The sequence below is a fragment of the Homo sapiens genome, chromosome 16 (genome assembly GCF_000001405.40).
Source record: "Homo sapiens chromosome 16, GRCh38.p14 Primary Assembly".
Taxonomy (NCBI): Eukaryota; Metazoa; Chordata; class Mammalia; order Primates; family Hominidae; genus Homo; species Homo sapiens.
The window spans coordinates 80,717,775-80,733,133 of record NC_000016.10 but is presented as its reverse complement, the minus strand read 5'-3'; the positions used below and the strand labels follow the sequence as shown (position 1 = coordinate 80,733,133).

At 43.0% G+C, this 15,359-nt stretch overlaps 1 protein-coding gene across 3 annotated transcripts in view, besides 2 other annotated features; it reads left to right on the top strand.

The window, feature by feature from the left end:
- Window positions 1-15,359, top strand: part of CDYL2 (chromodomain Y like 2) — a 207,131-nt gene that overhangs the window by 71,904 nt on the left and 119,868 nt on the right. The window lies entirely within an intron of this gene.
- Window positions 5,208-5,708: an enhancer, noted in NCBI's record as "H3K4me1 hESC enhancer chr16:80761323-80761823 (GRCh37/hg19 assembly coordinates)". NCBI's record gives its function as "activates a minimal SCP1, AML or CMV promoter by ChIP-STARR-seq in naive H9 embryonic stem cells {active_cell/tissue: H9 hESC(naive)}" and the evidence as "EXISTENCE:reporter gene assay evidence [ECO:0000049][PMID:30033119]".
- Window positions 5,709-6,209: an enhancer, noted in NCBI's record as "H3K4me1 hESC enhancer chr16:80760822-80761322 (GRCh37/hg19 assembly coordinates)". NCBI's record gives its function as "activates a minimal SCP1, AML or CMV promoter by ChIP-STARR-seq in naive H9 embryonic stem cells {active_cell/tissue: H9 hESC(naive)}" and the evidence as "EXISTENCE:reporter gene assay evidence [ECO:0000049][PMID:30033119]".

Genomic DNA, 15,359 nt, shown 5'->3' with positions numbered 1-15,359 from the left:
AGAGACATCAGCTGTTCAGGGTTGTGGGGTAGAAATGGCTGTAGAAAGAACGTTATCAGTAGATATAGGCTACATTGGCTTGTTGCTATAACAGTCACTCTTTTCTGTGGATCTTTGAGTCTGTTTTGATCAATGGCTTTATCACATCTTTTGGGACACTAAATAGATAATGATACTTCACGACACAATTCAAAATAATTAAAAAATAATAGATGTGTGTTTATGTGTGTGTGTATTTTCCATTCATCAACTTTCCCAACTTGACCCTTGTTTAGAGAGGTTATAACCAATCCAAAGAAAATGTGCAGACCTTAAGAGAGGTTAGTGTTGTTTTTGGTAACAATTGGAATAAAAGGAAATTCTTACATCACAGTCTGCCAATTCAAAGTCATCTTCAAATCTCATGTAATGCCCGGATTCTTAGGCTTCCTTGTAAATGTTTTCATACATTAATCTACTTAGTTATTTCAGGTATTTTAAAATTGTATTCATTCTTTGGTAGGTAAAACATGCTCATGGTACAAAATTCAAAAGGAGCAAAAGGGTAAATAGGTAAAGTAGTTCCCTTCAGACATCTCCCAGACATAACTAGAGTTAGTTACCAGTTTTGTGAACTTCCTTCCAAAGATATTCTGTGCATATTCAAGCTTATATGTTTATAGAGAAACCTTTTTTTCTTGTTTGGGACACTGTGTTTTTTTCCGTATTGCAACCTGTGGCAATCAGAAGGCTCTTTCCAACACGATGACTAAAAGGGCCTCCAAACTTGAGTGTAACTTTTTATGCAAGGGACATACCATATGTCACCGAACCCAAGATAAGAGGTCCCACTAAGACAGAAAACTGTGCAGCCCATTAAACTATGATACTCTCTCAGTTGTAGAATGTATCCTGATTTCAGAGATGTTAAAATGTGGAAAAAGTGTTTTCATCATCAGTGAAATGTGGTACTTCATGTTCTCATTATTCAGTGTCATCCACACACTGTCATCATTATGGATTTCGTCAATAAAAATGATGACTCTCATAATTTGCATTATGACTGTCTATTTAATTCTGGAGAGAAAAGTGGCTGTGAATACAGAGCCTTGCACTATCCTTGGCCAGAAAATTTCTATCCTGTTTCAATCTGTGCTGACTTTCCTTGCGGCCTAGTGCATCTCTGTCACCCTGGATCCCCTTCACCATCAGCTTGGGGATCTTTTGCCTTTTTTTTTTTTTAACTGTGCTGCATCTCTTATGTGTTGGGTTTCATGTATGCTCTTTGTTGATTTATATCCTTGTTATGGTGGAGCACATCCTCAAGTAGATTCTTCAGAGAGTTAGATGGAAAGTTAACCTTTAGAGATTTCGCATTTCTGAAAATGTCTTCATCCTGCTTTCCCATCTGATTGATGATTTGGCTAAGTATAGAATTCTAGGTTGAGAATCATTTTTGTTAAGATTTTGAAAGATTGCTTCCAGTGTTCAATGTTGCTGTTGAGAAATCTGAAGCCATTCTGATTCCTGGTTCTTCCACTGTAAAACTATTTTGCTCTCCAGAAGATTTCACAGTCTTATCTTTGAAATCCCATTCTGAATTTTTATAGGGATATGTGCTGGGTTAGGCCTATTTTTGGTCATTGTGTGGGGTTCCTGGTGGGCTCTTTGAATCTGGAAACACATATTCTTTGTTGTGGGAATTTTTCAGAATTATGTTATTGATTTTCTCCTTTTTAGTTATCTGTTCTCACTTTTTTGAACTTTTGTTATTCAGATGTTGGATTTCTTGGTCCTCTAAATTTCTTGCATTTCCTCTCCTGTACTCCTTCTGATTGTGTTACTGTCTTATATTTCAGAAGATTCCTCAATTTCATCTTCTAATCCTTCTGCTTTTGCGCTGATGTTTTTAGTTTTCAAGAGCTTCACTTTTTGGTTTTGTTAATATTCCTTTTTTATTTCATCCTGTTCTTATTTTGCATGTCAATTGTTTTCTCTTGTCTCTGGAAGGATACTTATTTAATAGCTTTATGGAAGTATAATTTATGTACAACAATTTGTACATATTTAAAGCATAACATTTGATAAGCTTTGACATATTTTACCTGGGAAGTTGTCACCTCTGTCAGTCTAATGAACATATCTATCATTTTCCAGATGTTTCCTCTTGCCTCCTTGTAATCTATCTACTCTTTCCACTCCTTCCTACCCTCATTAACCATACTGATCTGTTTTCTGCCAGTGCAGATTAGTTTACATTTTCACAATTTTATATAAATGTGATCATACAATGTGTGCTCCCTTTTGTCTGGCTTCTTTAAGTATAATTACTCTGAGATTCATCCATGTTCTTGTGTGTATCAGTAATTCATTCTTTTTTATATCTAAGTAATAGCTCATTGCTTAGATACACCCCTACATATTTATCCATCACTTATTGCCAGTATTTTGTTGAGGATTTTTGCATCAATGTTCATCAAGGGTATTGGTCTAAAATTCTTTTTTTTGGTTGTGTCTCTGCCCGGCTTTGGTATCAGGATGATGCTGGCCTCATAAAATGAGTTAGGGAGGATTCCCTCTTTTTCTATTGATTGGAATAGTTTCAGAAGGAATGGTACCAGTTCCTCCTTGTACCTCTGGTAGAATTCGGCTGTGAATCCATCTGGTCCTGGACTCTTTTTGGTTGGCAAGCTATTGATTATTGCCACAATTTCAGCTCCTGTTATTGGTCTATTCAGAGATTCAACTTCTTCCTGGTTTAGTCTTGGGAGAGTGTATGTGTCGAGGAATTTATCCATTTCTTCTAGATTTTCTAGTTTATTTGCGTAGAGGTGTTTGTAGCATTCTCTAATGGCAGTTTGTATTTCTGTGGGATCGGTGGTGATATCCCCTTTATCATTTTTTATTGCATCTGTTTGATTCTTCTCTCTTTTTTTCTTTATTAGTCTTGCTAGCGGTCTATCAATTTTGTTGATCCTTTCAAAAAACTAGATCCTGGATTCATTAATTTTTTGAAGGGTTTTTTGTGTCTCTATTTCCTTCAGTTCTGCTCTGATCTTAGTTATTTCTTGCCTTCTGCTAGCTTTTGAATGTGTTTGCTCTTGCTTTTCTAGTTCTTTTAATTGTGATGTTAGGGTGTCAGTTTTGGATCTTTCCTGCTTTCTCTTGTGGGCATTTAGTGCTATAAATTTCCCTCTACCCACTGCTTTGAATGCGTCCCAGAGATTCTGGTATGTTGTGTCTTTGTTCTCGTTGGTTTCAAAGAACATCTTTATTTCTGCCTTCATTTCGTTATGCACCCAGTAGTCATTTAGGAGCAGGTTGTTCAGTTTCCATGTAGTTGAGTGGTTTTGAGTGAGTTTCTTAATCCTGAGTTCTAGTTTGATTGCACTGTGGTCTGAGAGATAGTTTGTTATAATTTCTGTTCTTTTATATTTGCCGAGGAGAGCTTTACTTCCAACTATGTGGTCAATTTTGGAATAGGTGTGGTGTGGTGCTGAAAAAAATGTATATTCTGTTGATTTGGGCTGGAGATTTCTGTAGATGTGTATTAGGTCTGCTTGGTGCAGAGCTGAGTTCAATTCCTGGGTATCCTTGTTGACTTTCTGTCTCGTTGATCTGTCTAATGTTGACAGTGGGGTGTTAAAGTCTCCCATTATTACTGTGTGGGAGTCTAAGTCTCTTTGTAGGTCACTCAGGACTTGCTTTAGGAATCTGGGTGCTCCTGTATTGGATGCGTATATATTTAGGATAGTTAGCTCTTCTTGTTGAATTGATCCCTTTACCATTATGTAATGGCCTTCTTTGTCTCTTTTGATCTTTGTTGGTTTAAAGTCTGTTTTATCAGAGACTAGGATTGCAACCCCTGCCTTTTTTTGTTTTCCATTTGCTTGGTAGATCTTCCTCCATCCTTTTATTTTGAGCCTATGTGTGTCTCTGCACGTGAAATGGGTTTCCTGAATACAACACACTGAAGGGTCTTAACTCTTTATCCAATTTGCCAGTGTGTGTCTTTTAATTGGAGCATTTAGTCCATTTACATTTAAAGTTAATATTGTTATGTGTGAATTTGAACCTGTCATTATGATGTTAGCTGGTTATTTTCTCGTTAGTTGATGCAGTTTCTTCCTAGTCTCGATGGTCTTTACATTTTGGCATGATTTTGCAGTGGCTGGTACCGGTTGTTCCTTTCCATGTTTAGCGCTTCCTTCAGGAGCTCTTTTAGGGCAGGCCTGGTGGTGACAAAATCTCTCAGCATTTGCTTGTCTGTAAAGTATTTTATTTCTCCTTCACTTATGAAGCTTAGTTTGGCTGGATATGAAATTCTGGGTTGAAAATTCTTTTCTTTAAGAATGTTGAATATTGGCCCCCACTCTCTTCTGGCTTGTAGAGTTTCTGCCGAGAGATCCGCTCGCTGTTAGTCTGATGGGCTTCCCTTTGTGGGTAACCCGACCTTTCTCTCTGGCTGCCCTTAACATTTTTTCCTTCATTTCAACTTTGGTGAATCTGACAATTATGTGTCTTGGAGTTGCTCTTCTTGAGGAGTATCTTTGTGGCATTCTCTGTATTTCCTGAATCTGAATGTTGGCCTGCCTTGCTAGATTGGGCAAGTTCTCCTGGATGATATCCTGCAGAGTGTTTTCCAACTTGGTTCCATTCTCCCCATCACTTTCAGGTACACCAATCAGACGTAGATTTGATCTTTTCAAATAGTCCCATATTTCTTGGAGGCTTTGTTCGTTTCTTTTTATTCTTTTTTCTCTAAACTTCCCTTCTCGCTTCATTTCATTCATTTCATCTTCCATCACTGATACCCTTTCTTCCAGTTGATCGCATCGGCTCCTGAGGCTTCTGCATTCTTCATGTAGTTCTCGAGCTTTGGCTTTCAGCTCCATCAGCTCCTTTAAGCACTTCTCTGTATTGGTTATTCTAGTTATACATTCGTCTAAATTTTTTTCAAAGTTTTTAACTTCTTTGCCTTTGGTTTGAATTTCCTCCTGTAGCTTGTAGTTTGATCGTCTGAAGCCTTCTTCTCTCAGCTCGTCAAAGTCATTCCCCATCCAGCTTTGTTCCATTGCTGGTGAGGAACTGCCATCCTTTGGAGGAGGAGAGGTGCTCTGCTTTTTAGAGTTTCCAGTTTTTCTGCTCTGTTTTTTTCCCACCTTTGTGGTTTTTATCTACTTTTGGTCTTTGATGATGGTGATGTACAGATGGGTTTTTGGTATGCATGTCCTTTCTGTTTGTTAGTTTTCCTTCTAACAGACAGGACCCTCAGCTGCAAGTCTGTTGGAGTACCTGGCCGTGTGAGGTGTTAGTCTGCCCCTGCTGGGGGGTGCCTTTCAGTTAGGCTGCTCGGGGGTTAGGGGTCAGGGACCCACTTGAGGAGGCAGTCTGCCCATTCTCAGATCTCCCGCTGCGTGCTGGGAGAACCACTGTTCTCTTCAAAGCTGTCAGACAGGGACATTTAAGTCTGCAGAGGTTACTGCTGTCTTTTTGTTTTGTCTGTGCCCTGCCCCCAGAGGTGGAGCCTACAGAGGCAGGCAGGCCTCCTTGAGCTGTGGTGGGCTCCACCCAGTTCGAGCTTCCTGGCTGCTTTGTTTACCTAAGCAAGCCTGGGCAATGGCAGGCGCCCCTCCCCGAGCCTCGCTTCCACCTTGCAGTTTGATCTCAGATTGCTGTGCTAGCAATCAGCGAGACTCCGTGGGCGTAGGACCTTCCGAGCCATGTGCGGGATATAATCTCCTGGTGCGCCGTTTTTTAAGCCCCTCGGAAAAGCGCAGTATTCGGGTGGGAGTGACCCGATTTTCCAGGTGCCGTCTGTCACCCCTTTCCTTGACTAGGAAACGGAACTCCCTGACCCCTTGCGCTTGCCGAGTGAGGCAATGCCTCGCCCTGCTTTGGCTCGGGCACGGTGCGTGCACCCAGTGACCTGTGCCCACTGTCTGGCACTCCCTAGTGAGATGAACCCGGTACCTCAGATGGAAATGCAGAAATCACCCGTCTTCTGCGTCACTCACGCTGGGAGCTGTAGACTGGAGCTGTTCCTATTTGGCCATCTTGGCTCCCAGAACTTTTTTTTCTTTTTGAGATTGTCTTGCTCTCTTGCCCAGGCACAGTCATGGCTCACTGCAGCCTCTACCACCTGGGCTCCAGCAATCCTCCCACATCAGTCTCTTGGGTAGCTGGGACTATAGGCACATACCAGCATGCCTAGCTAATTTTTAAATTTTTTGTAGAGGCAGCATCTCATTATGTGCCCAGGCTGGTCTTGAACTCCTGGGCTCAAGTGATCCTCCTGCCTCAGCCTCCAAAGTGTTGGGATTATAGGCATGAGCCACCATGCTTAGCTGTTTGTTTGTTTGTTTTGTGATTGTTGTTGTTGTTGCTATTGATACTTCCTTACTTTCTGGCACTGCAGGATGCTCCAGGCTCATTTTGTATATTCCATGTTTCAACCCTAGAGTCAAACATTTTTCTAAGAAGCCCTTGCTCCTTTTATTGGAGAATGATATTAGAACCAAGATCTGAATGCTAGGTATTATTCATCTCTTTCTTTGTGTTTAAGCTAACAAATAGTTGCAGTTTAATGAGGAAAGATGCCTTGGCTGATCTTTCATTCAGTAAATATGTATTGCATGTCAAGCTTTGTACTTGGGATTAAATTTTTAATTGTTTAAAACTTGCTCTAAATAGAACTTCAGTTTTAAAATACATAGCAATTAGAAATTTTTTTCAGAATTCAATGTTATTTTAGTAAAATGTTATAGTAAATTACAGTAGGATTTATACAGTTATTGTTTGTTGTGCCAAAATCAGTGTCTTTGTTTTATGAAGTCTTTCATTTCATTGTTGGTTTTAAAAACAAATGCTTCTTACTGGGAGAAAACCTATGGATGAATATTGATTTGAGTTACAAAATGTTCCTCAAATCCCTTTGCAACATGTATGTGGAAAATTTTAAATGTACGCAAAAATAGAATCTTATACGGAACTCCTATGAACCCATTATCCTGCCTCAACCGTTTGAACTGATGAGCAATCTTATTTCATCAAACTTGACATTATTTTCTGGATTAGCAAATTATTTTTGAACTTAAAATAGATGTCACTGTCTTTTTGTGACTCAGACATACATAATGGAGGAAGCTTAAATAAATTCTAAGGAACACTTAACAGTTGGCCTTTGTAAGAGCAGGTGAGTGACTAAGTGTCATCCCACTTCAGAAGATGAAAACTTCATGCCCCAATGTCTTAGAAGCTGTGGGTTGAATGGCACCAATAATTTTTGTAACAAGTGAGAATTTGAAAAAAATGGGGATTCCCTCATCCGGGTCGTAGAATTCAGATTCCAGTCCTCTTGAATAGCGGGCAGCGTGCTTGTTGCTAAAGCGCGTTACTCACACTGTGGTTGGCTGGCTTTCAGGAGCAAAATATGCCAAGTGTTTTTTCAGTTCAGTCCGGGTTAGGGTTTCTCAGGTCAGTCGTACAGAGTTTCTTGTGGACTGCTGGAACTTCTGCATGTAGCTTAGGCCACAGCAACTAAGCACAGTTCTTGGACATGAAAGTAAGAATTTGAAATATGTGGACTGAGATTCGTAGACTGTAGGATGAGATTTGTAGACTCAATTATCCAATGAATGTTTCCTGAGCACCTACTGTGGGCCAGGAGCTATGCTGGGGACACAGCAGTGAACAGGACAGATATAGAGCCAGCTACATGGGGCTTGCAGTCTAGGGGTAGAAGTGGATCGTCACCATGAATCCCACAAATCGCTAATTACTGTTGCAATAAGTGTTGTAAAGGGATAGAAAAGAGTGCTCAAATATGCGGGTCTCCAATTTTATCTAAGATGTCAGGGATGTCAGGGAAGATGCTCCAAGGAAGTGACATTAAACTAGGACTGAAGGGATGAATAGATGTTGGTGAGGCAAAGTGTGTGTGTGTATGTGTGTGTGTATGTGTATGTGTATGTGTATGTGTATGTGTTGCACAGGTGTATGGGAGTTCAGAGTGTTCCAGTGAAAGGGAACAATGCCCACCAAGGCTCTGTGGTGGGAAAGGACAGAACATGTCCTTGGAACCGATAGAAGGTGACTCAGTTGAAGTGTGGTCCAGGAGTGGGGCAGGCAGGTGGCATCTAGACCATGCTTAACTCAGTAGACTGCTCAGAAGTCTGGATTTCATTCTTAGTTCAGTGGGAAACCACCAAAGGGTTTGAGGACACGATCTTACAGAGTTGGCTTTACAGTTTAAAAGATTCCCCTGGCCACCCTATGAAGAGCACATTGGCCATGGGTCAAGACTGTAGACAAGAAGACCATGTGGGAAGCTGCCACAAAGGTCTGGGTGAGAGGTTTGGTGACTTGGTGATGCAGAGAAGTGGATGGATCTGAGATGTAATTCACAGTGTTAGTGTCATGACTTTCAAACTTTCTTGACTGTGAACTATAGAAAGAAATCTATGTTGTATCATGGGCCTAGTACACAAATGCATGTGTGTATATGTATGTGAAACAAAGCCTTCATAAAACAATATTACAGGCAATACACACTGATATAGTTCATGCCAGGTCATGAAGTGCCACATGTGTGTCATGTGTGTGTTATGTGCTTGAGGTGGGTGGAGAGTGTTAGGGGTCTTCATGAACTATGACAAGGAGTCAGGATCTTCATGCTGCAGGGAGTAGAAGAGCTCCAGAGTTTTACAGATTTTTTCTTTGAGAGAGAGAACCTTAATGGCATAGAAAAAAGAGCCACCTGATAGCAATGCTAAGACAGAAATAATTTCTCTAGGTCCTTCTACTCCATTTCTTCCTCCTCCTCCTCTTCCTCTTCCCATCTTCCTCTCTCTCTTCTCCTTTCTTTCCTCTTCCTTTCTCCTCCTCCTCTTCCTCTTTCTCCTCATCTTCTTCCTCTTTCTCCCCCTCCTCTTCCTCTTTCTTCTCCTCTTCCTTCCCCTCCTCCTCTCCTCTTCCTCTTTGTCTCCTCCTCCTCTTCTTCTTTCTCTTCTTTTTTATCTCCTCTTTCTTTCTTCTCCTTTCTCTTCCTCTTCTTTTTCCTTCCTCTCCTCTTTTCCTCCTCTTCCTTCTTTCTTCCTCTTCATCTTCTTTCTCTTCCTCCTCCCCTCTTCCTCTTTCTCTTCTTGCTTCTTCCTCTTTCTCTCCTTGCTTCTTCCTCTCTCTCCCTCCTCTTTCTCCCCCCTTTTTCTCCTCTTCCTCTTCTTCTCCACTCCTTCTCCTCCTTCCCCCCATTTCTCCTCTTCTTCCTTCTCCCTTCCTCTTCCTCCTCTTTCTCCTGTTCCTCACTCTCCTCTGTTTCTTCTTCTTCAGCAGGAATTGGCAGACTTTCTACCAATGCCAGAGAGTAAATATTTTCAATTTTTCAGGTCATTTGGTCTCTGTCACCACTACTCATGTTCTGCAGTTTTGAAAGTAGCTATAGAAGTATGTAAACGAATGGCACAGCTGTGTTATCAATAAAACTTTATTTACTGTAGCAGCTGTTAGGCTGGATGCAGCTTGTAGGCTATGGTTTGCTGACTTTATCCTAAGGAACATGGGGGACTATCCTGTGGAATCAGTATCTCATTGGGATAAGATCAGTGTGCTGGGGCATGGGGTCAGTCTCACCTGGGCTGTGGTGGCTCTTGGGTGAGGCTGACACTTGGAGAGTTTGCATTTGGGGAACCTGGAGTTTAGAAGCCGGAATTAGTGTTCTTACTTAGAAACATCCCAGCTTGCACCTCAGATTCAGCCACAGACAGAATGCAAACTGTAAATTGAATGTTCATCTCAGCTCCTCAGCGCTGCAAGCCCAAAGCTGGACTTGATGCCAAGCTAGGGTTTACTTAATACAACCCTTCTGGGCACAGCTCCCTGTGTAGGAGCCATACATAGGTGAATGCAGCCTTTGTGCCAGGAGGAAAAGCTCCGAGAGGAGATGCCTTGAGATGGCTTCTTGGGGCGGCTTTTCCTCTCTCCAGGAATTCCTGGGCCTATAGACCACACATCTAAGTGCACTTGGAAGCAAATGGGTAGCCCAGGGAGGTGCCTGTGGTGGGTACATAGTCCACAGGGACTGTAGAAAGCGCCCTGCCGAGTGTGGCAGTTCAGAGGCTTCACCCTGCAGCAGAAAAGGGTTATGGCCCCATGGCCCCTCTATGTCTTCTCCTTCTGCTCTGCTTGTGGAAATCCTCCTTGCCCTCTAAGGGCCAACTCCCGAGTCTTCTCTTCTATGGGGACTGAATCCTCCAGCCAAGAATAATTTTCCCTCCTGTGAACTCAACCCTTTGTATGTTGGAAGCTTAGGGCACCAGGTATGCTCATGAGTAGGGCCGTAGTCTGTCTCCTGGCATGGATTATAAAATTGAAGAGTGCATGGACTGTGGTTAATCCATCCTTGAATTCCAGCTCCTAGCCCTGTACAAAGAAGGAGCACAGTATCTTGGAGAGTCAGTGTGGTGTTTTGAAAAGGGCCTGGTTTTCGGATGTCTGTCAGTTTCTTCCTCTGTAACCTTGGGCAACTTTGACTTTTTGGATCCTCAGTTTTCTAATCTGTAAAATAGGCCTAAGAAAACTAGGCTTAGTTATGTTCTGACAATTACAGATACAATATACATGCAGCTTGTGTGCCCATTCCGTTGTTGATGACTTTGCCGTTGTTGGCTCGATAAGGTGTCTCATCCAGAGGAGCTGGGAAGTGTTTGGGAGATCAGGGTGAGTTCCTGGGTAAATTCTCAGGACTCAGCAGTGTGTTTGCTTTCATTGACTCTAAGACACTACAGATTATAAGATGCTCTGTTATTTTATGTACCTCTGAATAATAGAATCACCTAGTGAGCTTTCACATGTCTTGGTGCCCAGCCCTGCTCCAGATCAATAACATCAGTAATCTGGGGGGTGGACATTGGTTTTTTCATTCACTTATTTATTCATTTTATTCATTTTCTTCTTTTTTTTAAATCAGTATTTAAAAACCTCTTTGGGTGATTCTATTTTGCAGCCAATATTAAGAATCATTGTACTTTTAAAAGAAACACCTCTATTATATGACTCAATGCTTCCTTATCACTGGGAATTTTTATTTTAATTTGTTTATAGAGCCCTTTTAGACATTCTCTCAGCTCCTGAGGGGTCCATAACCACTTCTTCCTCAAAGAAGGGTCTCCTGAGAATTTTGTAACAGCTAACAGACACCAGAACTGGGTAGTGGCTAGGACCTCTTCGTCGCTGTGCCTGGAATACAGTCCCTGAATTTGCAGCCCAGCAGGTTCAGTGAGTTTGGGGAGAGGTGGACAGGGCAAAGGAACTGTGGGGACTGCATGGCACCAGGAGAAGGATGGGGATGGTCACCGGGGAGGGGACAGAGCAGCTGTATCTTCTGTCTTCCCTGTGGTCACTGCTCAGCTTCAGTCCTGGAGAAGCTGAAGGGTGGTCTAGCTGGGCCATTGTTAGGCATGCTTGATTTCAATCCTGATTACAGAGATGATAAAATGGGAAACTGTGCATATTTTAGAATCAGTGGAATATGGTGGATCACGTGCTAGATATAAACCTGCTTAGAAGAAAGTGGTCACCAGCAGCTTGGCTTTGCAAAGGATGACTGGGCTCCTGCAGACAAGGCAGAACCCAGAGCTCAAGAAGCAGTTTGGAGAGTCATGATCGCCACTCTCCCAAATAGTCACTGATGGAAGGACTTCCCCATCTGATACTATTTTGCTGCCCAAACCTGCTCATGCCTTGGAAAAGAAGCTTGTGAATCAGGGATGATTTTGAATCCAGGCCCCAGCGTGTGTTTGCTACATGACTTCAGGCAAACCCTTTAATTTTTCTGAGCCTCGGTTTTCTTAGGTATCAAATGGGAATGAGTCACCACCTCAGAGGACTGTTGGGAGGATTAAATAAATTACTGCAAGTAAAATATCTAACATGTGCAGACAGCAAACAGCTAGCACATGACAGTGATTAGTTTCTTAGCACTCTTATTCTGTCATTGGTTGTTCTTAGTAGCACTGGGATTTTTGTACTTCTTGTTTTGGTCAAGAAGTGGGGGCACTGAGAAGGAAGCCCCTAACTGCTGGGGAGGAGCTGACATTTTCCTGGGGTCTTGGCGGAAATGTGTTTACTGCACTTAGGGTCTCTCCAGGATGAGCTCATTATTTTCTCTCTGTAGCCACTTCCTTATAATGAAATGATATGGGTTCTTTCTGGTTATTTTAGTCTATTCCCTTATTTAAGATAAGTTACCCCACTTGTGACTCTAAAGAAAGCCTTTCAGCAACCACACATGCTCAATTTCTGAAGCGGACGGCTCTCAGGGTATATTTTTAAACCAGAAACAACATTACAAGTGGTAGCAGGATTCCCAGGCCAGCCTACTGAAATCTTCACTCACTAATGCTGCTGAATGAAAGTAATAATAAGTGGCATTATCAGCTGCTGCCTACACTCATTTATACATTGGTCCAAGAGGAAAATGCACCCTGAATCCCAGGAAGAAATGCCAGGAGCATGTTTTCCCAGCAGCAACATCTTGTTTCAGAAGCCACGTTGAAGGGATTAATGGGGATGGATACTCCTGAGCAAAATACCCTCAACTTTTAAAGAGTTGTCAGCAGAGAACAGTGTCCTTGCTCTGTAGACGAGCATACCCTCCTTTCTAGAGTATTTCCTGTTGGAGTCAAATGACACTGATGACAAGGTTTGTCAGAGGCATTTGTGAGAATAGGTTGTTTTTGCTCTACCTGGTCATTGGATACTACATGGTGACTGTTCACAGTCATGGCAGGGATTGACATCAAATCTGCGGGGCAAAACCCAGTGCCTAGTTTTTGTCTCTTTGCTTCCTTGATGTTCTGGCATTTAGAGTGCCGATGACTATAGGTGCTTTCCAGGATTCAGCACGGAATCCAGGCATGTCCACAGAGAGGGGAGTCATGAGGGGAACTGGAAGAAGGGCCCTCTGAGCAAGTGTTCCCCTCCTGGATCTGTGTGGATATTGTGTAGTTTCAGGGCCCGAGAGATGGCTCAAATTCTTATGTTCCCAGTTTCATTCTCTACCTGCCCATTTCTGCCTAAATATTATTTGCTCGACCACTAAAGGCTGGTGGCTTTACAGTGTCAAGGCATGGGAGAGGGGACACTGTTGGGAAATGAGCCAGCCACAGGGAATATCAATGATAGATTTGAATCCCTTCCCAGATGATCAGGGTTTGGGTACAGAGGAGGGCCTTTGGCCTCTCTATGCCAGGGGAGGGCCAGGGTTGGACAGCAGGTAGCCAAGGCAGGTCCCAACAATGTCTTTGGTACCCTCTTGGGCTGATTCTGTTGTCATCATCCCTGTGTGGACAGACACGGGCTGTGAACAAGGCACTTCCTGTCTTCATGACTACATAGTGTGAAGCTTGGTGGCGACAGCCTCCTTGTTTCCTGCCACTGTGTCTGGGTTCACAGTAGAGAGGACAAGACATAGGGGTTCAGAATTGGGGTCTGGGTGGCCTTGTTTTCTCCTGGGCAACCCAAGGTACAGATACTTGTTTGTCTCAATTCTAAGTTGTTGGCTAGGCCCCATGTGATGGAAGCAGGAACTGCCTGCAGAGCTGAAAATTATCTAGTGATTCTCAAAATTTAGTGCACACAAATGACGAGGGGTCTTGTTAAAATGAACCCCTATTCCTCCATGATGATGTAGAAAATTAAAATGATGAAGATCATGATGATCCTGGCTTGTGTCAAGCCCCTACCCTGTGCTGAGTGCACTCACTTAATACAGCAACTTGTGGGTCATTCGTGTTCCTAGTCCCATTTACAAATGGAGAAACGGAGGCACTGAGCAGTTAGAAGACTTGCTCAAGGCCCACACAGATTCCTGCTCCCAGCCTCTTCCGGGGCCTGGGAATCTTCAGTTTTACAGGTACCTCTGGGGATCCTCAGACTCCAGTTTGAGAAACATTGCCTTTGCATTCACGGGGGTCAGTGACTGTGTCTTTCTTGCTCAGCACTCTATCTCTAGGGCTTTGCATTGGCCAGGCACGTAACAGGTGTTCAGTACTTGCTGAAGGAATGAATGAGTAATGTTCGCTTCCAAGGAGTCCCTGGGGAATCTCAGGAGCTGCTGCCCAATTCTCTGGGAGCGTTAAGTCGTCAAGCCCAGTATTCATGCCCTAGTTCTGACAACTTTGGATTTACTGCCAAGAACAATTCTATCTGGTTTCCTGGTTCTGCTCTCTGGATCCCTACATTGTTCCCTGGCTCTAAGTCCTTCCCTCCTTAGTGGCCTCCCTGTGTCTCTAGACCCCAGGCGCTCCCCTGCTCTTGTCAGTACCTCTTTTAGGGACTGGGATTCTGTCTCCAACAGCGGTGTGGCTGCTGGGCAGGATTTCCGGATGCTGCCCTCTGGCCCATTGTTCTGGGTTCTCCATCCCACTATCCACGTGTCTGTTGGGACACCACCTACCATCTACTGCTGTGGCCTTGAGTGTCAGGTTACACTTGCCAGACTGGACTTCCAGCTCCTTCAGCTGCATTCTTTTTCCATAGTGGCCAATTCTAGCTCCTGAGCCTGGCTGCCATCCAGCTTGCCTTGTCACGGAGCAGTAAATCAGCTCTGTTTTAATATAGCCAGGTGATGCAGATCTTAGGCATCAGAGTGGGCAGGCTTGGGTTCAACTTTTGGCTCTTAGGGTGAGCACTTTAATTCTCACAGCCTCAGTTTCCACACCTGTAAATTAGGTATGATAGTCCTAACCTCCCCTTCAGTGGGTTGATGTGAGGATTAAATGGGATTGTGCACATAAGGTAATAGTTCAGTTTTAACTATTATGTGAGTTTGCCATCCATCTTTAAACAAGTAATGAATTTTATTTTAAGATGATTTTGACAATGAAGATTTTAGATTAATATTTTACTTCAAATTGGTCCTTCAATTTTGTGTGAAGACAAAACAAAACTCACTTCTCACTCCCTATGCAGCCTGGTATAGCAGAAAGAGCACGGGCTTTGGAGACAGTCTTAGGTTTTGTTCTTGCCTTGGTCATGTGGCCTTTGGACTCTGATTTAACCCTTCTGAACCTCAGTTGCTACATCTGTAAAGTAGAGATAATAGCCCCTCCTGGGTTTGTCAGGATGATTGGTAACTGCTTGAGAAAGCACCCAGCGTGAGACAGCAGATGCACACTGAATGTGCCTCACAGCATCCTTGACCTTGCAAGTGGAGAAACTTATTAGAAACAGACATGCCTGCTCAGTGTGCCCTACTTTTGCTTCCACGAACCATGTGGGATAACTGTTCTAGGAACTTTGTCACATTTTGCATGCCAGGGAATTTCTAGCATATGATGGGGAGTCCTCCTGGCTTCAGTATTTGCTTTGCACACATGCAA